Source organism: Homo sapiens, chromosome 9 (genome assembly GCF_000001405.40).
Source record: "Homo sapiens chromosome 9, GRCh38.p14 Primary Assembly".
Taxonomy (NCBI): Eukaryota; Metazoa; Chordata; class Mammalia; order Primates; family Hominidae; genus Homo; species Homo sapiens.
The window spans coordinates 133,200,738-133,223,255 of NC_000009.12; the positions used below are offsets into that span (position 1 = coordinate 133,200,738).

A 22,518-nucleotide genomic window follows, 5' to 3' on the forward strand; every position below is an offset into this window, starting at 1 on the left:
CGGTACCAGGCCAGGAACGGAAGAAAGTGAAGTGACCTGGGGGGAGGCGAGCGCTGATCCGAGGAGAGGAGCCAATGAGAGGCACTCACCAGGCAAGCGGGTGGGCGGGGGCCTGGCGCTGAGCACAGACAAGTCCAAGGGAAGATGCATAGGAGCTGATCGTGCAGAGATGGCAGCAAGTGGCAACGGAATCCCCCTGCATTGACAATAAACCTCCAGGAATCCCCCTGCATTGAGAGAATAAACCTCCCGGCTCTGGTTCTGTTCCGTGTCTGTTAGCGGGGTTTAGGGGTGAGTTAGGGAGAGGGCACTGCCACCAGCCCTCGGATATATTTCTCCTGCTGTTCACTATGTGTAATAGACAAACACCAACAAGAAGAGAAGAGGCCAGGCACAGTCGGTGGCTCATGACTGGAATTCAGGCACTTTGGGAGGCCAAGGTAGGAGGATCATCTGAGCCTAGGAGTTTGAGACCAGCCTGAGCAACGTTGGGAGTTTCTGTCTCTAAGAAAAAAAAAAATTACCTGGGCATAGTGGTGCACACCTGTAGTGGCAGCTACTCAGGAGGCTGAGCTACTCAGGATTGCCTGAGCCTGAGATATCAAGGCTACAGTGAGCTGTGATTGTACTACTGCACTCCAGCCTAGGCAACAGAGAAGGACAGTGTCTCATAAAAGAAAAAAAAAGAGGAGAAAAGCTTCCCAGACCTGCCCACACCATGGTGTCCAACAGGTGGCTGGGACCCCATGTCCTCCGGTCAGCTCTCACCAGGGCCTCATGGGACCTTCCTGCTGGGGGCTGATCTGAAATGCCCTGCTTCTTCAGACGGCTGAGGGTTTCTGCCCACCCAACCTTTGGCAATGCCAGGCGAGACAGGCACCTGCAGCCCCACCGTCACTGGCATCCTCTGGGCAGGTGCTCAGCGTTCCTTAGGGCCCAGGAGCAAGCCAGACGCCGCCTTTACTTTTGCAGGCAAAATAGAACTTTTTAAACTTCTGCCCATCTCTCTTTTGCACATACAGTATGATAGTCTTGCTAACCTACTGCCAGATGAGTGAATCTGCCTATCACCAAGCAACAGGTGCACTGTCCCATGAGAGGGATGGGGGTGGACGTACAGAACTCCAGGGTTCTCTGGGCACCCTCTGGTGCTTCCAGGCCTGTGAATTGGCACAGCAGGACCACAGACCTCCAAGGTGCCCACCTGGGGGCTCAGAACCCTGGCGGGGAAGGTCAGTGCTATCCCACCGGAGAAGAGACCTAGTCTAGCTGAGCCCCTGGCCAGCGGCAAGGAGGAAAGGATGAACATCAGCCACGCCTGGCACTGACTGCCACAGCCAGAGCCTCGCCCAGCCCAAGAATGTTTCTGTTCTAAGACTTTTTTCTTTTTTGTATTTTAGAAATTATCACAGGCAAATGTCACCTTGAAGACCCGGTGGCAGCAAAGTGTGAGCTCAGTGTGGGGCATGAGTGTTCTGAAGCTGCCAGGGGTGGACTGCAGTGGGTGCCATGGGGGCTGTCATAGCCCTTGGTTCTTGCTATTGCAGGCCACGCTGGCCACGTTTCCACCGCAGTGTCCTCAGCTCCTCTCTGGAGGGGTCGTCTTTCCACCTAAGCCGCCCTGCCCTGCAGCAGCGGGAAGTGCCAGGAATAAGTGCCCCATGGAAGCATCCCCATCCCGTGACCGGCTGGAGCTGGTCTAAAACATGGCAGCGCCAGGGACTGAGCCCCAGTTGGTCGCAAGTGGTCACCTTGATGCTGGACCCTTCACCAGTGGCCTTCCCTGCTAACGTCACCTCCCCAACCCTACTTAGGAGGGTCTCCTGGGACCACCTCCTAAGTAAACCACTTGAGCTTGCATCTGCCTCATCTGCTTCTGGGGGACTCACACTAGAAAAACAAAATTAATATTTTTTTGTTATATGGAGTGGTGTGATTTGAAATCCTTCTATGGATAATGAATGCTTGCTTATGTCTTTAAAAAAAATTTTTTTTTTTGAGACAGAGTTTTGCTATGTTGCCCAGGCTGGTCTCAAACTCCTAGGCTCAAGTGATCCTCCCATGTCAGCATCCTGAGGAGCTGGGACTACAGGTGCGCGCCACCACGCCCGACTCCAGCATCTTTGTTCTCTTAATATTGAGTCCAGACATGGAGTTAGGCAACCGCAGGCATGCAGATTACACTCCCCAGCAAGAAGGCTCATCATTGACACACATGCAGACTTAGGCTGTACCAGGCATGTATACCAGGGGGGTGCATTGTGAGTAGGTAGGTGTGTGTGCGGGTGGGAGACTGTGTGTATGTGTGAGAGAGAGCATGTGGCAGTGTGTGTGTAGGTGTGTGTGCATGTGTGAGAGCATGTATAGGTGTGTGTAGGGGTGTGTGTGTGCGCACATATGTGTGTTCATGTGTGAGATTGTGTGTAGATGTGTGCCCGTTCCTCACAGCAACCCTGCTGGTGAGTGCTCCTGTGGTCCTCTCTTTACGAACAAAGAAACAGGTTAAGCACTTTCCGGAAGGCTGGTGACCCACGAGCCCTGTGTCACACTTCTCAGTCTGCCTGGGGCCCTAGCTCTCAGCCTGGACACTTGGCCCCTGGTGAACAAGTCATGTCGGAGAGAACCCGTCTGGTGCGCCATCTCCAGGATACTTGTGTCCCTTTGTACATATATTTAAAAATTCATTTTGAAAGAACAAAAAAATCTCCACTGCCCTCCTTCACATCTGCGATTTCTTGATTTTCAAACACTGAAAGGCTCGTTTTGCTCCTGGAGAGATTCTGCTCGGTGCCTCTGCCATGCTTGGGTTGGGAGTGAAAGTTTTCCTGACTTATTTGGGATACTGTCCTCAAATATTTCAGATGTTGGGTGTCTGCGAGGGTCCCATGGTTATGAGCCATGGGAAGAGGCTTCGTGTGACTCAGTGATTGGAGAGTTTGTGGGTGGAATTGGGGGGTGCTGAGCTTGGAAGGGGAAGCTGCATGGGGCCAGGGCTCTCGGGAGCAGAAATGGATGATGGTTGGGGCCCACGTCCGCCAGGACAGAGCCTCCCACCTCGAGGGCTGCATTCCCAGGGCTACAGGTCCCTGGTCCACCCATCATGAGGTGGCCAGGACATTGGATGGATAGGGCAGATGAATGGACAAACAGCCCAGGCAAGGATGCAGGGAGACCCACAGCCGCCCATGCCAGGCCCTCCAAGTGGGCAGGAACAGGTTTCCCAGCTTCTTATGTGCCCACCTCCTGTTCCTGCCAGCATCTCCCTGCACCCACGCTCAGCGCTCTGCAGTCCAATCTCTGTCTTTCCCAAGGAGACCCTCCCCACTGCTTAGATGTGTCAAAAATCCTTTTCCACCAGGTTAATATTTTTACTATTTACTTATTTTTTCTTCTTTTTACAAACAGAGATGAGGTATCACTGTGTTTCCCAGGCTGTTCTCGAACACCTGGCCTCAAGTGTCCTTTCTCCTCGGCCTCCCAAAATGCTTACAGATGTGAGCCACTGCACCTGGCCAATTTCATATATATGTATTTTTTTTAACTTTTTAGGTTTTCTATCCAATAGCAAATAACCAACCAATCTTGAATTTTTACACATATCCTAACCTTTCTGGAATCTGCATGGTAGCACAGGGTGAGGGAGATGGCTTACTGCTCACCCATCTTTGTAGGGTGAGGTCTGCCCTGCCCTCCACATGTGGCCCGTGGACACCCAGGTTGGTTCCGCCTCGGCTCGCCTGGGCCCTGCTGGCCTGGCTCACTTCAGGACCACCCTGTAGCCTCACCCAAGAATCATGTCCAGGTGGGAGAGGAGGAGATGAGGATGCTGGTCTGGCGGGAGGTGGGCAGTGGTTACTTGGTGTGGCCGGGGGGAGAGGCGGTCGCTTTGAAGGCTCAGCCCCCAGGAGGCCTGTCCAGCTTGGGTTTGTGGTTCCTGGGGCATGTTTATCACTGCGGTGCAGTGGCCTCTCGTCCCTCACTGTGGTCGGCCTCCTCATGTCCCAGCAGCCCCAGTGTCTGCACAGACCATGGCCCCTGGACAAGCCATGGGAAGGCCAGGGTGGGGCCAAGGATCTCGGAGACCAGGGTCGGCTCTGCCTTGCTCTGGGGGTGATGATGGAGGCGCCAGTGTCCCTCTCTCCAGCGCTCCTCTCTCCAGTGCTGCCACTGAGCCCAGGCTGCTAAAATGGGGGAGCTTGGAGGATCCCTCTGAGACCCCTGAGGCGGGAGCCCTGCGGTGGCCCCACTGCTGCAGCCCTGACGCCGTGTCCCCGCTCCTGTCCTCCCCAGTAGCTTTCCAAACGCTCCTGCCCAGGGCCCTGCCTGTCCTAAGCTGAACCTGAGACCTGAGGGCGGCTCTGCAGGAGGCCCCTCCAGGACATCACGCAGCCCCTCAGGCCTGTTGGACATCGTGCCTCTTGTGGTTTGGCCCTTGCTAGGTCCAACATCTCCCCAGCTTCCCTTGTGGCTCCCCCTCCCAGCAGACCTCCCAGGGAGCGGGTGCAAGCCCCTCTGTCCCCACAGATAGGCCTGCCCAGAGCTGGGGGAGAAGGACTTTATTTGGAGTCAGGTGGGTGGGAGCAGGGAAGGGTCATGGCTGGAGGGTAGGTCCAGGTGGTCCAGGCTCTGTGTCTGGTGGTAGGGTGGGCTCTGGAGGTGCAGACCCGGGGGCTGCTGTGCTGGGAAGAGGAGCAGAGGTCAGGGAGGCTGCAGGGTAGGGCAGAGGCCAGGGCCAGAGCTCCCTCCCCAGGCTCTGCAGCCCCCACATCGGCCACTGCTGGGCAACCTCGGGGCTCCAGAGCGACCTCAGCTCCTCCAATGACTGGGCAGGCCTCTGAGCATCCTTGGTGGGTGGATGGTGGGGAGTGGACCGCGTGGGGACAGGTGCAGGGGGCGATGGGCTGAGCTGACACCTGAGGGAGCCGGAGGGAGGCCTCGCTGTGGAAAGGCCGAGGAGGACCCTCACTCGGGCTGGCAGGTGCAGGAATGATAAAACAAAGGACTTCCCGAATGTCCCAGGAACTGTGGGTGGGCAGACTCTGAGGTGCCAACCTCGTGCCTGACCCTGGGGGGGTCTCCCTGGCTGTGTGGGATGGGAGGGGCCAGAGCAGATGTACCCTCGAACCCCGGGAACCCAGGACTCTGGGCTTGTCCAGTGCCCTCCTAAAGGCTCACTCACCCTAGTGTTCGGGAACGCAGCTTCCTGCAGAGACCAAGAAAAACCCAGGGATTAGAAGGCGCCCTAGACCAGGGCCCAGACCCCATCGCAGCCCAGAGCTCAGAGCCCCAGAGCCCATCGCAGCCCAGAGCGCGGAGCCCCAGACCCCATCGCAGCCCAGAGCGCGGAGCCCCAGACCCCATCGCAGCCCAGAGCGCGGAGCCCCAGACCCCATCGCAGCCCAGAGCACAGAGCCTCCAATGAGGAGGACGCTAAACAGGGCCCGGGAGCCCCTGCGAGGAGACTCGGGGCACACGGGGAATGCGGGGGACATGGGAGGACATGGGGGTCATGGGACACTGGAGATAGCAGACAGACACAGCAGAGGGACACAGGGGACTGGGCACAGCCATCCTCACCCGTCTGCAGGGGCGTGAAAATGTCCTCCTCCGAGAGTCCCTTGCGCTGCACCAATTTCTTAAATTCTTCCAGGGCCTCCCGGTTGGTATCAGAATTCCTACCTGCAGGTGAGGTGGCCAGGTGAGCCGACGTGGGGACAGCGGCACGGCCCTGCAGGGAGCAGATGCCGAAAGGAGACGACCACGGCCCAGCACCAGGACAGGGGGAGAGGCCTGAGAGTGGATCAGAGCTCGGGGGTGGGGCTGGGGACAGAGGAGATGGCCACTGCCCAGCACCAGGACAAGGGGAGAGACCCAAGAGTGGACCAGAGCTCTGGGGTGGGGCCGGGGACAGAAGAGATGGCCATAGCCCAGCACCGGACAAGCAGGAGAGGAGACTTGAGAATGGATGAGAGCTCAGGGGTGGGACTGGGGACAGAGGAGACAGTCACTGCCCAGATGAGAGGTCCCCAGGAAGGGGGACAGTGGCGGGGACTCTCCAAGCCACTCGGCAACCCCAGGGGACCTGGGCAGCTCCCAATGCCACCCTGCAGGGTCACAGCCCTCACCTGGAGGGACCTTGTCTCCCAGAGGCACCGGCCACCCTCCTGCCCTGGAGGGTCCCTGCCCCATGAAGAGCTCTCTTAGGACGCTTAAGGTGACCCTCCCCCTTAAGGTGACCCTCCTACACCCGAGACCCCAGAAGTGGCCCTTGGCAGGTTCATGTCACCGAGGGCCATGTCTGTCCCTGCCTGGCCCATCCCATTCCCACTTCAGGTACTTGGACCGGCTGCCCAGCGGTGCCCGGCACATGAAAGCCGGCACAGGGGGCTTCCTTTTCCCCCATGCCAGGGCATGGTGGTGCTGGTTCCACCGGCTTCCAGAGGCAGAGACCGTGGGGCAGGACACGCAGACCCCAGCAAGCCCCTCACCCACAAGCTTTCCCATGTGGAGCAGGCCCCCATGGTGCTGGTCTTTGCAGTAAAAGATGTAGTGGTCCCTCCTGGGCAGCTCCTGCAGGTACATGAGCTTCCTGCCCCCATCTGTAGATGACAGAGAAAATGGGTCATTCCCAGAGAGAACACTCGGGGCCACATGAAGAAACACTCGGGAATGTTTCAGCGGTCACCCAGGTGCCCTGGACAGCCTGAGCCAGGCCTGGCTGCTCCGCACAGTGTGGACCCGGACACGGAGGCAGGAGCCTCCTCTCAGGAAGGTCCCAATGCAAGTAATGGAGCCACAAGGCCAGAGCACGTCCAGGACTAGAGTCCGGCCTTCCCAGCTCCAGCAGCTGCTCCTGCCCCACTTCCCTGTCCCTAACCCTCATCTTCCCCCTCAGCCTCCCCATCTCTAATCCTCAGCTTCCGCAGCACTAACCCTCGGCCTCCCCATCCCTAACCCTCGGCCTCCTCATCCCTAACCCTCAGCTTCCCGATCCCTAACCCTTGGCCCCCGTCCCTAACCCTCAGCCTCCCCATCCTTAACCCTCAGCTTCCCCATCCTTAACCCTCAGCTTCCCCATCCCTAACCCTCAGCCTCCCCGTACCTAATCCTTGGCCTCCTTGTCCCAATCCTCAGCTTCCTCAATGTGTCAATGGCTAGGGCCTCCCAGAGGGCAGGCGTGATCTGGTCCATCTCGACTGCGGACAAGCCTGTCACACCCGGTGTCTGATGTCAGGGCCACCAGCCCCCCAGGAAGGAGAGGCCAGCCCCTCCTTGGAGGTGGGCAGAGCTGGGGCCCTGGCAAAAGGGCAGCCTGGGCACTCTCTACCTGTGGAGGCTGGTGCACTGGGGTTGGCGGTGGGGGAGGGTGGGGGTGGGAGTGGGGGAGGGGCTCACAGGCGCTGTATTTGCCAGGCTCCTCCGTCTTCCGCATCAGGATTTTCTTCTGGATGCACCTATCCTCCCTCCTGGAAAACAGGAGACACGCGGGCAGCGGCTCCCAGGACACCCATGGCCCATCCTCAGCTCACCTGGTGCATGGCCCTGACCCGGCAACCTGAAAATTCCACTGCCCCCCACCCCACCGAGCTTCAGGATGCCCAGGCTGTTTCCCTCCAAGGCAGGGGGTGACTCTTCCCAACACCCGAAACGTGGATGGGGCAATGGGCACCAGGTGGATCTGGGGAGGGGAGCGAAAGTGGCCTGAGGGGCCCTGCAGTGGGCAACACTCACATGAAGGTGAACGTGGCTTCCAACTTCCCACCGCCCAGGGCTGTCACCTTCACTGGGGACACCTTCCTGGGCCTCCTGTCCTCCGGAAAGTCCTTATCGACCACCATGGCCTTCACGTACCAGGTCCCTGTGATCTGGAGCAGGCCAAGGCCGTGAGCCCACCATGGGTGGCCCAGATTCTACTCTGACCCTGGCACTCAGGCCTGCAGCTATAACCAGACACCCATGGTGCCCGGCTGCTGCCCTTAAAGGCAGGCTGTGTTCCTGCACCTTAGTTAGAGCTCAGCTGGAGTGAGTTAGAGCCAGCCCCCTGCTCAGGGCTCCCAGCCCCCAGTGGAAGGAGGGCATGTCTGCACCCCATGGACCCCCGGGCCCCAGCACCAGGTGAGCCCTCCCTCCACAGGGCCCAACCCTGCGAGACCTTCGGGCTTCAGGCGTCAGTGCAGCAGGAACCCCTGAGACGAGCCTGCTCCGGCCCTGGGCCTCGGGGGGCCGTGTCTGCTGGAGGAACAATAGGACCCCTCCACCACCACCCCAGGCTGGGAGCACGGGGTCAGAAGCCAGCCTTCAGTGACACCTCCTAAAGCAGGGCCCCTGGCACTGCCCCCTGCCCAGGAGTCCGCCTGGCTCCTCCATCCGCCCACGCCAACCCAGCTCACATCCTCCTCCTCCAGGGTGAAGGACAGGGCAGCGGCCAGGCCGAGCGTGACACCCAGGAACAGGGTCTTCATCTCCAGAGCTCTGTGCTGCCGACCTCGGCAGGTCACTGGGCGTCTGAACAAGGCTGTGCTGGCTCCTCTCGAGATGTTCTTTATAGCCCCCTGGCCAGTGTCCTGGGAGCACGTGGCACGGTGCACCCCTCCCCATGGTGGCAACCAGTCCTGCATCCGGGAGGGGGAGTGTCCTCATTGCTGGCATCTGGTGAACAGCAAGTCAGTGCCAGCCAGAGAAGAAAAGACACACGATGCCATCCAGAGTTTGCACCACCCGAACGCGCCCACTCAGATGAGCCCAGAGGACTCGAGAGGACAGGGCAGGGTGGTGTCCATCTGCACCCCAAGCCACAGAGGCAGGGCCCACAGCCTCGGGATACTCCCTCACCAACCCCTGCACCCTCCCAGGGCCACGGCTGGGACCCTGGGCAAGTCCTCTGGGGAACTGGCCATCTCCCTGCTGAGCAGAAATGGACTGGGCTTTAGAACCAGAGAGACGTGGGGCTGCTGCCAGCTGAGTCCCGCACGCCCTAGAGCCCAAGCTTCCGCCCACTCTGGGACCCACTCTGCATTGATTTTCCCCACCTGGACCCTGCACTCGAGCTTCCTAGGGGCAGAGGAGGGCACTATTGTGTGGCTCAGGGTCAGTTTATATACGGCCTCCTCGGGCCATATGAGGGACCCCGCCGCCTCCCCGACCCCGCTTCACTCCGTACCGGAGCCTGGCTGTGCTGTCCTCAGAACACGCGATCTCTCTGGATTGTCCTGTCCATTTCTTCCTGCACGTATTCATCGACCATCTCCCTGTTAGAATATACATTCCCCTCTCTCGTCAGCTTTGACGGCCCCCAGCCCCCAGGACAGGCCTTGAATCTCATCCCTTTAGATAAACAAGTCGCATGAGGCACCAAGAGTCACCTGCCAGCCTGTGCTCAGAGTTCGTGGCTGAGGTCCCTTGGGCACCTGGCTCTGCTGGCCTCATCCCCAGCCAACCTGAGCCAGAACTTTGCCTTCTCCCTCCCGGACCCTGCATTTCCCAGGTGTGTGTCATCTTCCCTGGGACCCAAGGCTGACCCACGCTCTGCAGGCAGGTGCTGGACCCACACAATGGCATCTTTGTGCCTCTCTGGCCCAAGATCAGACACTCTCAAGTACTTACTCAATAATACTAATGCACACTCTAATAAACCCTGGGGCTGTAACGAACGGGCTGGTGTGACCCAGTCCCTCACCCCTCCCACGGCAAGTGCTGCCGAGCAGAAACCCCCCACCCTCATCCCCCCGGGCAGGAAAGAATGGGGCCTGGGCTCTTCAGGACCAGAGATGAGCAAACAGGCTGGAGTCTCTACATCAACGGGAAGGTTTCTCTGTTCTCTGTGTTTGTTGACTGTACCCCAGGCACCTCGTATTTCATTGGTTGTTTGTGAATCATTGATCTAAGCACCTTACAACACTGGTGCTGCTGGCTCAATCCTTGAAGAAAATGCTGGAACGACATGCACAGATGCTTCAGAGAACAGGGCTCTCCCATGAGGTCCACGCTCAGTGCGACGGGTGCTCTCCAGGAGTCTCCCATCATCCACCCATCTTGCCCTGTGTCCCAGTCTCATTCGCCAACTGTGTCCTTTTAGATACTGGTTGGGTTCAACTGGTGCAGACACCGTCAGGAGATGGTAGGGCTGGAGGTTGGGGGTCAACCCATGGCAGACATGAGGGGTGAGATCTCTGGCCCCCAGTGCTTTGTGGCCTGGGGCACTTCTCTGGATGGCTGTGTTCCTTCTGATGGTGGCTCCTGTTGGGCTGCCGCTACCACACAACTTTCTCTCTCACCACTTCCCTCACGACCCTTTTCTTTGAATCTCACAGTGATCACAGCTTTTCAGGGCTGCTAATTCCTAGGTGCTTCACTGAAGTGGACAGTGTCTGGGCTTTACTCGACACCTGGGCATAAGAAGGTTTAGATGGCACCACCAAACAAGCACCTAGACCAGAGCATGTGCTGGCTGGGACTGAGGCACGCCAAGAAGGAGCAGAGTGGGAGCTTACGATGAATCTCAGTTAAGGCTGCAAGACCAACTGCACAGTAGGGACCATCGCCTGTGCCACCAACCACCTATTTTAATTATTTCAGAGACGGTGGCTGGCCACCATGCTGAAGCATCAGTTACAAAATGGACTTGATTTGCTGTGTGAGTGGGTCAGTGCAGTGCAAGGGGTGGCTGAAGGCACTGGTGACCCACGCTCTCGGCCCACCTGCCACAGTTGTAGATCGTTCCTGGTGCACGGACGTATTCACAGCTTCCCACCTTAAGTGCCTGCACCTTTTCTTCTGTGCTTCCCCTGACACCGATGAAACCCAGATGTGCAAGTGAATCAGCATCCTCAGTCTGTAGGGATAGTAACTGATGGGATAAATGGTCTGGACTCTTCCTTCTAAGTGGAACAATCAAATATGGTTCCACCCTATTTCTCAGATGGTCCTCAGAAGGACTGAGTCCCAGTTGCCCACAATGGTAACATCATTAACATATTTTGTTGGTTTTTCTACCTTCCAAATCTCACTTGATCTCAGACTTCTGGCCACCAGAATGTGAGAAAATAAATTTTTGTTCTAAGCCACCCAGTTGGTAGTATTTTGTTATAGCAACCCTATAAAAATAATACAAACTCTAGCATGTTAATAATTATATTAAATGTAAATGGTTTAAATATTAAATGACAGTGATTGGCAAAGTGAATTAAAAGCCATTATACAACTATATGCCGTCTACAAGAAACTTACTTCAAATGTAACAATAGAGACAGGTTGAAAGTAAAAACATGAAAAAAGATATATAAACATTAATCAAAAGAAAGCAGAAGCATTATTTCAATAACAGGTAAAATAGACTTTAGAACAAAGACTAATTAACAGAGAGGGAAATTATACAATAATAAGTGGGCCATTCTGCAAAGAAGACATAGTAATCCTAAACGTGTGTGCACCAAACATTAGCTGCACAATATGTGAAGCAAAACAGAACTGAAAGGAGAAATTTAAAAAGCCACAATTATAGTTGGAGACTTCAATACCCTTCTCTCAGAGCAACTAGACAGAAAACCAGCAGGGACATCAAAGAACTCGGCCACCCATCAATTAACATAATCGAATTGACATTTGTAGAACACACCACCTGGCAACAGCACTACACACATTCTTTTCAAGTGCACCAGAATATATACCAAGATAGACCATATCCTGGATGAGAAAATGAGCCTCAAGAAATTTTTAAAAATTTAAATGATATAGAGGGTAGTCTCTGACCACATGGAATCTAACTATAAATCAATGCCAGAAAGATAATGGAAAATCTTTCTTCAGAGGCTTGGAAACAACACACCTGTGAATAATCCACAGGTCAAAGAGGAAGCCTGAAGGTAAATTTAAAAATATACTAGGCTGGATGAAAATGAAAATACAACATATCAGCTGGGCGTGGTGGCTTGTGCCTATAATTCCAGCACTTTGGGAGGCCCAGGCGGGTGGATCACTTGCGATCAGGAATTCGAGACCAGCCTGGCCAACATGGCGAAAACCCATCTCTACCAAAAATGCAAAAACTAGCTGAGTGTGGTGGTGCACGCCTGTAATCCCAGCTAATCGGGAGGCTGAGGCAGGAGAATCACTTGAACCCGGGAGGCGGAGGTTGCAGTGGGCTATCATGCCACTGCACTCCAGCCTGGGTGACAGAGCAAGACTCCATCTCAAAAAAAACAAAAACAGGCTGGGCACAGTGGCTTATGCCTATAATCTCAGTGCTTTGGAGCCCCACGTGGGCAGATCACTTGAGGTCAGGAGTTCGAGACCAGCCTGGACAGCATGACAAAACCTCATCTCTACTAAAAATACAAAAATAAATAAATAAATAAATTGCTGGGCATGGTGGCGTATACCTGTAATCCCAGCTACTTAGGGGGCTGAAGCAGGAGAATTACTTCAACCCAGGAGGTGGAGGTTGCAGTGAGCCAAGATAGTGCCACTGCACTCCAGCCTGGGATACAGAGCGAGACTCTACCTCAAAAACAAACAAACAAAAACATATCAAAATTTGTGAGACACAGCTAAATCAGTGCTGAGAGGCATTAAATGCATATATTAGAAAAGAGAAGTCCAAAATCAACTATCTAAGCTCCCACTTCAAGAACCTAGAAAAAGAAGAGCAAAATAAACCCAAAGCAAGAAGAAAAGAAATAACAAAGATAAGAGCAGCAATTAATAAATCAAAAGCAGAAAGCAGAAAAAATCGAAAGCAGAAAAACAACAGAGAAAAACAATGAAACAAGGGCTAGTTCTCTGGAAAAATTAATAAAATTGAGGCAGTTCTAGAAAGACTGACAAACAAAAAAAGAAAGAAAGACACAAATAACCAACATCTGGAACAAAACAGAGACTATCACTACAGACCCTGCAGACATCAAAGGATAATAAGGGAATACTACGAAGAGACCTTCCCACATATATTTGACAACATAGGTGAAATGAACCAATTTCTCAAAAAACACAATGCCAATATAAGATAGATAACTTTAATAGCTCTATGACAATTAAAGTTAACATTTTAATTTTAAAAGCTTCCAAAAATAATTCTTCATGTCCATATGGTTTCATTAGAAAATTCTACCAACCATTTAAAAAATAAATAACACCAACTCTGCATAATCTCAGAAGATGAGAGAATATCTCCCAACCAAAACCTGACAACACAAAAAGGAAAGCTGCAGAACAATATACCTCATGAATATAGATACAGAAATCCTTTACAAAATATTAGCAAATAATAATATATAAAATTAATTCTACACCATGACCAAAAGCAGTTTATTCCAGGGATGGAAACCTGGTACAATACTCAAAAATCAACCATATTAATATGTTAAGAAGAAAAATTACATGATCATATCGATCAATGCAGAAAAAGTATTTGACTAAATTCATCACGCATTCAGGAAAACAACTCTCAGAAAAGTAGGAATAGAAGAGAACCTCCTTAACTTGACAAAGAGCATCTACAAAAAACCTATGGCTAACATCATTTCTCATGGTGAAAGACTGATGTGTAACTGGCTCAAGTCCAGCTGCTCGCTGCTCAGAAGTCAAGGCATGAGAAGTGAAGTGTGGTGAAAGGAAAGCAGCATTATTCAAATGCTAGCAGTAGAGGAATGGCCAGGCCCATGCCTTTAAAAGACCATTCAAACTTTCTGGACTGAGCGAAGGGGTTTAAGGAGGAAAAGGTGTGGGAAATATGTGGGAATGGTGCAGGAGGATGTTGGTCTGCATCTTGTTCCAATGGTTATCATGAGTCATTAATCGTCTGTCCAGAGGTCTGGTTTGAGTCATCCTGATTTCAGCCGGGAAGTGGTAGGCTACCTGTAACTCCCCCTAAGAGGGAGGATTCTGCAGCTGGGTCTCTCTGCCTGGTTTGTTTCAAAATTGGCCCCTGGAATTTCTAAGTAAGCACATAATTAGATAAGCGAGCACTGCTCACAGAAGTGCCTGGTGGGAAAGGGAGAAATAAAGAGTTTCGAAGTATGTTTCAAGGCTGAAAGCAAGAAAGGAAAAAAGTTTTTAAGCACATTTTGAGGCTGGGATACTCAGTTACAAACGCTTTCTCCTTAACATCAGGGACAAGGCAAGGATGTCCACTTTCACCACTTGTATTTAACATAGTACAGAAAGTTCTAGTCAGAGCAATAAAGGTTTTTTAAAAAGGAAATTAAAGACATACAAATTGGAAAGGAAGGAAGAAAACTGTCTGCATCTGCAGATGACATGATTGTCTCTGTAGAAAATCCCAAGAAACTGAAAAACAAAACAAAAGAAAACAATACACCTCCTAGAACTATTAAGCGAGTTCAGCAAGGTTGCAGGATACAAGATAAATATACAAAGATCAATTGTGTGTCTACATACTAGTAACGGACCCTAAACTTAAAAACACAATACTACTTATAGTGGCTAAAAAAAAGAGATACCTAGGCATAAGTTTAACAACCCATATGCTGGATTTGTATGCTGAAAATAATGCAATGATTATAAAATAAATCAAAGAAGATCTAAACAAATGGAGAGATGTGCTATATCCATGGATTAGGAGACTCAACATAATAAAAGCGTCATTTCTCTCAAATAATATAAAGATTTAACACAATTTCTATCAAAATTCCAGAAGGAATTTTTGTAGACATAGACAAGATTATTCTAACATTTATATGGAAAGGCAGAGGAACTAGAATAACTAAAACTTTTTTTTTTAAGAATAAAGTGGGAGGAATCAGGCTACCCTTTCTTTCCTTTTCTTCTTCTTTCTTTTTTTTAGAGACAGAGTCTTGCTCTGTCACCCAGGCTGGAGTGCAGTAGCACAATCTCGACTCATTGCAACCTCCACCTCCCAGATTCAAGTGATTCTCCTGCCTCCGCCTCCCAAGTAGCTGGGATTACAGATGCACACCACCATACCCAGCTACAGGCTACCCTTTCAAGACTCATTGTATAGCTAGCAGATGGACAGATGCATAGATCAATGGGACAGACAATAAAGAATCCTCAAACAGACCTGCACGCATATACCCAGTTAAGTTTTTACAAAGATGCAAAAGCAATTCAATGGAAGATAGCTTTTGTAGCAAATGGGCTGGATTAACTGGACATCCACAGACAAAACCACCAAACAAAAAGAAGAACCACAACCTTGGTCTCACACCCTGCAAGAAAATTAACTCAAAATGGATCATAGACTTAAACATAAAACTTAAAACTATAAAAGCTTTAGAAAACAGAAAGAAAATCTTTGGGATATGGAGCTGGGTCAGGAGATTTTAGATGTGTCACCAAAAATATGATCCATAAAAGGAAAAATTGTTAAAATAGACTTCATCAAAATAAAAACCTTTTGCTCTGTAAGAGACCCTGTTAACAGAATAAAAAGACAAGCCAAAGACTGAAAGAAAATATTGACAAACTACATATTCAACAAAGAATTAGTTTCTATACTTTATAAAGAATTTTTCAAAACTCAACAGTTTCAAAAATAGAACGTAAACAAAAGACATGAAGGGACACTTGACTAGAGAGGATATACAGATGGCAAATAAACACATGAAAAGATGCTCAACACCATTAGTCATCAGTGAAATGCAAATAAAAGCCATGATATATCAGTACATACCTATTAAGGTGGCTGAGATAAGATCATAGTGATCACACTGAAGCCTGGTGAGGATGCATGGAAACTGGACAGTTTCTGGAAAATGGCTTGACAGGTTTAAAAAAAAAAAACCCTGCAACAAGCATAGAACCCCGCAATAGAACCCCTGGGCCTTTGTCCCAGAAAAATGAAAACTGATGTCCATGCAAAAACCTGTACATGTGTCATAGCCCAAATCTATAAACACAGACATCCTCCAACAGGTGAATAGTTAAACAGACTGTGGTACATCCATACCATAGAGCACTACTCAGAAGTAAAATGGAATAAACTATTGATAAATGCAACAATGGGATGAATCTCCAGAGAATGATGCTGCACAGGAAAAAAAAAAGCCAATCCCACAATTTTATGATTGCAATAGACGACATTCTTGCAATGAGCAGATTTCAGGAGTGGAGAACAGGTCTGTCATTGCTGGGGTTGGGGCTGGAGCAAGCCAGGTGAAGATACACATGATAGCTCTGTGTGGCTTTTTACAACTGCATGGGAATCTACAATGTCTCAGGGTTAAATGTTTAATTTAAAAACCACAATAAGCATAAATGCTTAAAAAAAAAAAACCTAGAGCCAAAGACTCAGCAACTCCACTCAGAAGCATCATTTCAACAGATACACTCCCACACATGAACCAGCAGAAGGGTTCAATTGTTACTTACAAATCTTGGAAATGCCTCAAATTTCCATCAAAATAACAATGACTGAATAAAGGTTCATTTTTATGTTTGATTTTTGCAGACTTTCTAGATGCCTCTCATTCTTTGGGGCACAAGGAATACATCGATCAATGAAACAAATGTCCTGTGCTCGGGGGGCTTATATTCTAGGTGCAGGGGACTTAAAATGAACACAATAAATAAGTGAATTGCAGTGCCAGCTATCAATGTCTTGCCTCCAGCTCCACACGTACCCTTCATGGCCGGTTCCGAGGCAATGGAGCTGGAGCCAGCAGGCGCTTCTCTTGTGCACCTGGTGCAATGCTAAGCTTTGTTGGTTGAGGCGTAGGGAGAAGCGCCTCCTAGCATGGGTCCAGGATGACTGGTTCCAGATGCTTCCATTTCTTCCTTTTTCTTTCTCTTCCTATGCAAATGGCAGTGGCACAAGTCGGGGACGTCTGGCGGCACACACCACATTGAATTCAGGGGACCGCCCCCAGATGGCTTCCTATTGAGATTCAGTGGCATCTGCACCTGTGGGTTCCCAGTGACTCTTGCAGGCTTCCCAGCCCCAGCCCACCTGCCTTGGGTGGGGAGAGAGGCTTCCTGCTTGCCAGACCCAGCCTACATTTCCCTGCCTGCTGGCCTCTGCCCTGACCGTGGGCCAGCTGTGGCTGGGACAACCCAGCAAACTTCTCCAGCTTCCCTTGGGAGAACCACACCTTCTCCCGTGAGGTCTGAACCCAGACTTGTGGAAAGGATCCCCACCCCTGTTTATTTCTTCCTTAACTGCCCTCGTGCAATCCTGAGCCATTCTTTGTGGTTCTCTTTAAACCTCTAGAGCTGATTGTTCATTGTGCAAGCAATCCCTGTTCAATCTATTGTCTCTGGATCCTGATGGGTCACTGGTTCATACGTTATTTTAAATGGTGATCAGTGCTATGGAAAAAGCAAAGTGGACAAGTTGGACAGGAGTGTCAGGACAAGGGGTTATTTGTCCTTTAAATGAATTGATGAGGAACAGCCCCGCCAAGGTGGCATTCAAACACCGAATTTAAGACATGAAGGAAGCAAGCCATGAGCTCGTCAGCTGGAAGAGGAGTCCAGGTGGCAGGAGCATCCAGTGCCAGCCTGGAGGTGGGAGAACGCTGGCAGTTTCCGGGAACACACAGCAGAGCAGCCACAGCAAATGATCCAGGGAGACCGGCCACACATGAGGCTGGGGAGTGGGTGGAACTGCCATGTAGGGATTAAGGACCACCACGAGGACTTCAGCTTCTGCTCTGAGTGAAAGACCCTGGAGAGCTCTGACAAAGGCAAGCTGTGACTTACGTATTTAAGGGGTCACTCCAGTTGCTGCATTGAGCACAGATTTGGAGGCCGAATATAGAAGCAGAGAAAGCAGTTAGAAAAGACGCGGCAATAACCCAGGATGGTGCACTGATTTCTACCTGGGCATCCAGGAGAACAGGGGATGGACCTAACTGTCCCACCACAAACAGAGGGAAACTGGCCCCCAGGTGCAAAACGCTTGTGTTTAGAAACTGGACACAGACAGCGCAGGCTGTGATCCCTGAGAATGGGAGCTAACGAGCTCAGCTGGATCATGGCAGCTTTATGCCTGGAGGGAATTTCAATCCACCACAGAGAGAGGAACCCAACAGAGCAAGGAGTCAGACGGCGTGGACGGGACACAGATTGGACTCTAGGCATCGCAGACGACTAGAATGTGGGAGACAAGGAAAGAGATAGGAGAGCCCTCTGCAGAGGAAGAGCTCCAGAAACATGCAGAGTGGTCCTCAAGACCATAGCTAAATACCAGTCCATGCAGACAGAGGGTGGAACTCCACAGGGCCAGAGAAAATGATGTTTGGGTAAAGAAGGATTCCAAGGAACTGAAGAAAATCAACACCCCACAAACACAGGTGCAAGAATTAGTTGAGATGCCAAGATAAGAACTGTCTTCAACAAATGGCTCTGGGACAACTGGATGTCCACATGCAAAAGACTGAGGTGGGACCTCACGCCACACACAAGCTTTCAACCAGAATGGATCAAAGACCTCAACGTAAGAGCTAAAACTGTACAACTCTAAGAAGATGTGTAAATCTCTGTGACTTTGGCTTTGACAATGAATTCTTCTCTATACACCCAAATAGCATGCAACCAAAGGAACAGACAAATTGGACTTCATCAAAATTAAAAACTTTTGTACGTCAGTGGACACTGTCAAGGAAATGAAAAGACAAGATACAGAACGTGAGAAAATACTTGCAAATCACATATCTGACAAGAGTCGAGTCTAGTATCAACAATATATAAAATACACTTATAACTCAACATAAAAACACAACTAGCCCAATTTTAAAAAGGGAAATGAATAGACTTTCTTCAGAGAAGATATAAAAATGACCAATAAACACCTGAAAATATGCTCAATGTCATTAGTCATTAGGGAAATGCAAATCAAAACTACAGCGAAATACCACTTCACACTCATTAGGATGGCTAGAATCACAAAGCCAGATAATAACAAGGGTTGGCAAGGATGTGGAGCAATTAGAACCCTCATGCACCACTGGTGGGAATGTAAAATGGCACAGCTGCTCAGAAAAACATAGTTTGGCAGTTTATCCAACAGTTACACATAGAATTATTTAATACCATATGACCCAGCAGTTCCACTCCCAGGTATACACCCAGGAGAAATGAAAACATATGTTCCCATGAAAACATTTATGCACAAATGTCCCTAGCAACATTACAAAACCCAAGAAGTAGAAACAACTCAAATGTCTACCAATGGATGAATGGATAAAAAAGGTGGTATTATCCACACAATGAAATATTATTCTGTCATAAAAAGAAAATACCGACCCATGCTACCACATGAGCAAACGTTGAAACATTATGCTAAGGGAAAGAAACCAGGCATAAGAAACACATATATATGATTCCATTTCTATGAAGTGTCCAGAACAGGCAAGTTCATGCAGACGGGAAGTCGATGAGAGGTTCTGGGGCGTGGAGGGAAGAATGGGGGTGAGAGCAGACGGGCATAGGGACCTTTGTAAGATGATGAAGATCTCCTGGAATTAGATAGTGGTGATGGTTTCACAGCCTTGTGAATTTACTGAAACCCACTGAATTGGGCACTTTTAAAGAGTGAGTATGATGGCATGTGGAATATATATCAAATAAAAATTTTAAAAACCACCTCCCCAGAGAAGCCTCTCCAGGCTACACAATGGAAGATGCAGCCCCTCCTCTCTCTGTCACTTCCCTGAGCTGCGCTCCATTAGGACACATCACTCCCCGGAGACACCCTGTTCATTTACTTGCAGTCCTATTGATTGCCAGTTCCCCCCATGGGCAGACTGAATAATGGTCCCCTGAAGATGTCCGCATCCTCATCCCTGGCCCTGTGGATGTGTGTATGTGGTAGACTGAATAATGGTCCCCTGAAGATGTCCACATCCTCATCCCTGGCCCTGTGGATGTGTGTATGTGGTAGACTGAATAATGGTCCCCTAAAGATGTCCACATCCTCATCCCTGGCCCTGTGTCCCCCATGTGTAGACGGAATAATGGTCCCCTAAAGATGTCCACATCCTCATCCCTGGCCCTGTGGATGTGTGCATGGTAAAACGGACTTCACAGATATAATTCAGTGAAGGATCTGAGATGAACAATTACCCCAGATTATCTGGGTGGGCCCACTGTTATCACAGGGGCCCTTATAGGAGAGAGGCTGGGGAGCGAGGGAGGGAGAGAGAGGAGGGTGAGGAGAGAGAATATTTATGAACAGAAGTAGAAGAGGCTGTGCTGCTGGCTTTGAAGGTGGAGGAGGGGCCACAAGCCAAGGCATGTGGAGGCCTCTGGAAGCTGGAAATGGCAGGGACAGACTCCTGCCCAAGAGCCTCCAGAAGGAACCAGCCCTGCCAACCTTCGTTTTAGCCCCGTGAAACATACTGAAAAGAAGAGCTGGAATGAAGCATCTGAAGTTGTCTCAGCAAAACCTGCATGCTCGGTTGTGGTTGTGGGTTTTTTGACCAACAAATGAAAGCGTTCTAAGACCCCATGCACCATCGGCTGAAGGGGAGCATGAATATCTATTCCCAGTCCCAGCCTCACAACCAGAGGATGCGTTTCCTCACGGTTTTCTCCTGCAGCTCAAGGAGGGAAAGCATTTGGAATTATTTGACTTCTCCCCCTCACTCAGTGGAACTTTGGAGTCGTTCTTCCCACCCTTGTCAACCACAGGGCTTTCTCAGGTCTACAGGCGCGTGTGCAGATTGCTTGGGTGTGCACAGATGCAGGGAGGGCATCTCGTCGATAGAAAATGGGATACTCTTGGGCACGGCATGAAGTGACACCACAATTCCCTAAATTGTTTGCTGTGGTTGCTCATTGGGACGTGGCACCCACTGGAACCAAGACTTTGGGAAGCCAACTGGCTGCTGTGCTTGGCCACAGACGTGGTAATGACTTCAGGGAGAATGGGGCGGGGACTGCCTGACTGATCTAGGGCTTTCAGAAAGGAAATGCCAAGGTCTGAGCTTCAGTAACAGGCAAGACAATGGAGATGTTCCATCCTGGCCTTAGAATAATATTTCATTCTTGCAGCCACAGAGCAGAAATGGCTGAAAATCAGACTCCATATTTAATAGTGTGGATTGCATGGTGAGTTGGATTCAAAAGTCGCCAAGTGTTTTATGTGAAAGTTGGGTCACTGCTTAAGGAGTGGGACCATGACACACAGAACTGGGACATTTATGTGATCTCAGATGGAAGTGAGAATCTTGATCCCCTCCCCAATCTCCCTGAACCTGCCGGGGCAGAATCACCCCCTCCTCCCCTACCCAATCCCCCTGAACCTGCCTGGGCAGAATCATCCCCTCCTCCTTTGCGTGAGGAGATGAGACTTCCCTTTCTCAGACATCTTACCCCGAGGCAGTTGTGTAGGGGTGGATTCTAGGGGCTTTACACCAGGAGAACCGCGCTCCAATGTGGACCCAAGCTGAGTGTGTCAGTGCGTATGTGCTGAGTGTGTCAGTGCGTATGTACTGAGCACGGCAGAGCTCTCAGCATGGATCGGCTCCGCCCAAGCCCCTGCACCAGGAGACAGGAGATCGCCAAGCTCTCATGGCATCCAACAGCAGGAGGCGCATCCCTGGGGTGGCCCCAGCGCCCTAAATGCTTGCCTGAGAGCTCGGCACTGCAGGTGAATTTGCTGTGTGTCCTGGCCAGCACCCAGCTGCCCCTTCTTAGAGCTTTTGCTAAAAAGGGCTTACACCTGTGACTCCTTCCTCTGCCACTTTGAGAAGTCTGTGTTTCTCCTACAATGCAGAAGTGTATTTCTCAGGCTGGCTGCAGTGGCTCACATCCGTAATCCCAGCACTTTGGGAGGCATAGGTGGGTGGATCAATTGAGGTCAGGAGTTCAAGATCAGCCTGGCCAACATGGTGAAACCCTGTCTTTACTAAAAGTACAAAAATTAGCCGGGCGTGGAGGCACGTGCCTGTAATCCCAGCTACTCGGGAGGCTGAGGCAGGAGAATTGCTTGAACCCGGGAAGCAGAAGAGGTTGCAGTAAGCCGAGATCGTGCCACTGCGCTCCAGCCTGTGTGACAGAGCAAGACTCCAAAACAAAAAAAAAGTGTCATTCTCAGGGACCTGAGAGCCATTCCTTAGAAATGTGACCTTCAGGAAGAATGGGCCTCCTTCTTCCAGACTCTGTTGGGGGACAGAGTCCTCCTTCCATAACTGCCACACAGCTGGTCCCACTGCACTGACCCTGACCAGCACTCTGTAACTCTTCACCGGAGCCCCCACTCCCTCCCGCACCCCCAACCACTCTCCCTTCAGAACACCCCTTCTCCCCTGCACAAAGTGGCATGGAACCAGTCTGTTCCTGGCTCTGAGAAGTTGCTGAATAAAACCTGTCCTCACCGCTTTAACTAGCATTCAGCTTGGCTCACTGGTGACGACGTATCCAAAATGCCGTATTTAACACATTGGCTTGAGCGGTAGAGCAGCTCTCAGATGGCTTCCAGGACTGGCTGAGCTGGTGTTGAGGCCTCATTCACAGGGGCTGGGACGCCAGGATGGCCCCACATAACATGGAGAAAGGACTCTGTGCTGCAGGTGATTGAAGGGTTCCCAGGGTTTGCTT

The 22,518-nt window shown here is 50.9% G+C and overlaps 1 protein-coding gene across 7 annotated transcripts, besides 1 other annotated feature; it reads right to left on the minus strand.

The window, feature by feature from the left end:
• OBP2B (odorant binding protein 2B) lies at positions 4,542 to 22,518 on the minus strand. 7 transcript variants are annotated; one of them, XM_047423295.1, is made up of 9 exons: positions 22,296 to 22,518; positions 9,161 to 9,248; positions 8,391 to 8,649; positions 7,732 to 7,865; positions 7,396 to 7,466; positions 6,489 to 6,599; positions 5,578 to 5,679; positions 5,180 to 5,203; positions 4,542 to 4,938 (listed from the first exon to the last, which is right to left on the minus strand). In XM_047423295.1, exons 3-8 carry the CDS (start codon positions 8,616 to 8,618, stop codon positions 5,181 to 5,183), a joined length of 669 nt encoding a protein of 222 aa, XP_047279251.1. In that variant the 5' UTR covers positions 8,619 to 8,649; positions 9,161 to 9,248; positions 22,296 to 22,518; the 3' UTR covers positions 4,542 to 4,938; position 5,180. The 7 variants fall into 7 exon arrangements, 5 of the variants coding, with proteins under 5 accessions (XP_047279251.1, XP_016870143.1, NP_055396.1 ...); NR_110242.2 differs by lacking the exons at positions 9,161 to 9,248; positions 22,296 to 22,518 and adding an exon at positions 7,103 to 7,208 and having other exon boundaries at positions 4,542 to 4,674; positions 8,391 to 8,513; XM_017014654.2 differs by lacking the exon at positions 22,296 to 22,518 and having other exon boundaries at positions 4,542 to 4,674; positions 9,161 to 9,259.
• Positions 5,732 to 5,919: a silencer, noted in NCBI's record as "fragment chr9:136081856-136082043 (GRCh37/hg19 assembly coordinates)". NCBI's record gives its function as "represses an EF-1alpha promoter that drives an FKBP-Casp9 reporter gene in an ReSE screen in K562 erythroleukemia cells {active_cell/tissue: K562}" and the evidence as "EXISTENCE:reporter gene assay evidence [ECO:0000049][PMID:32094911]".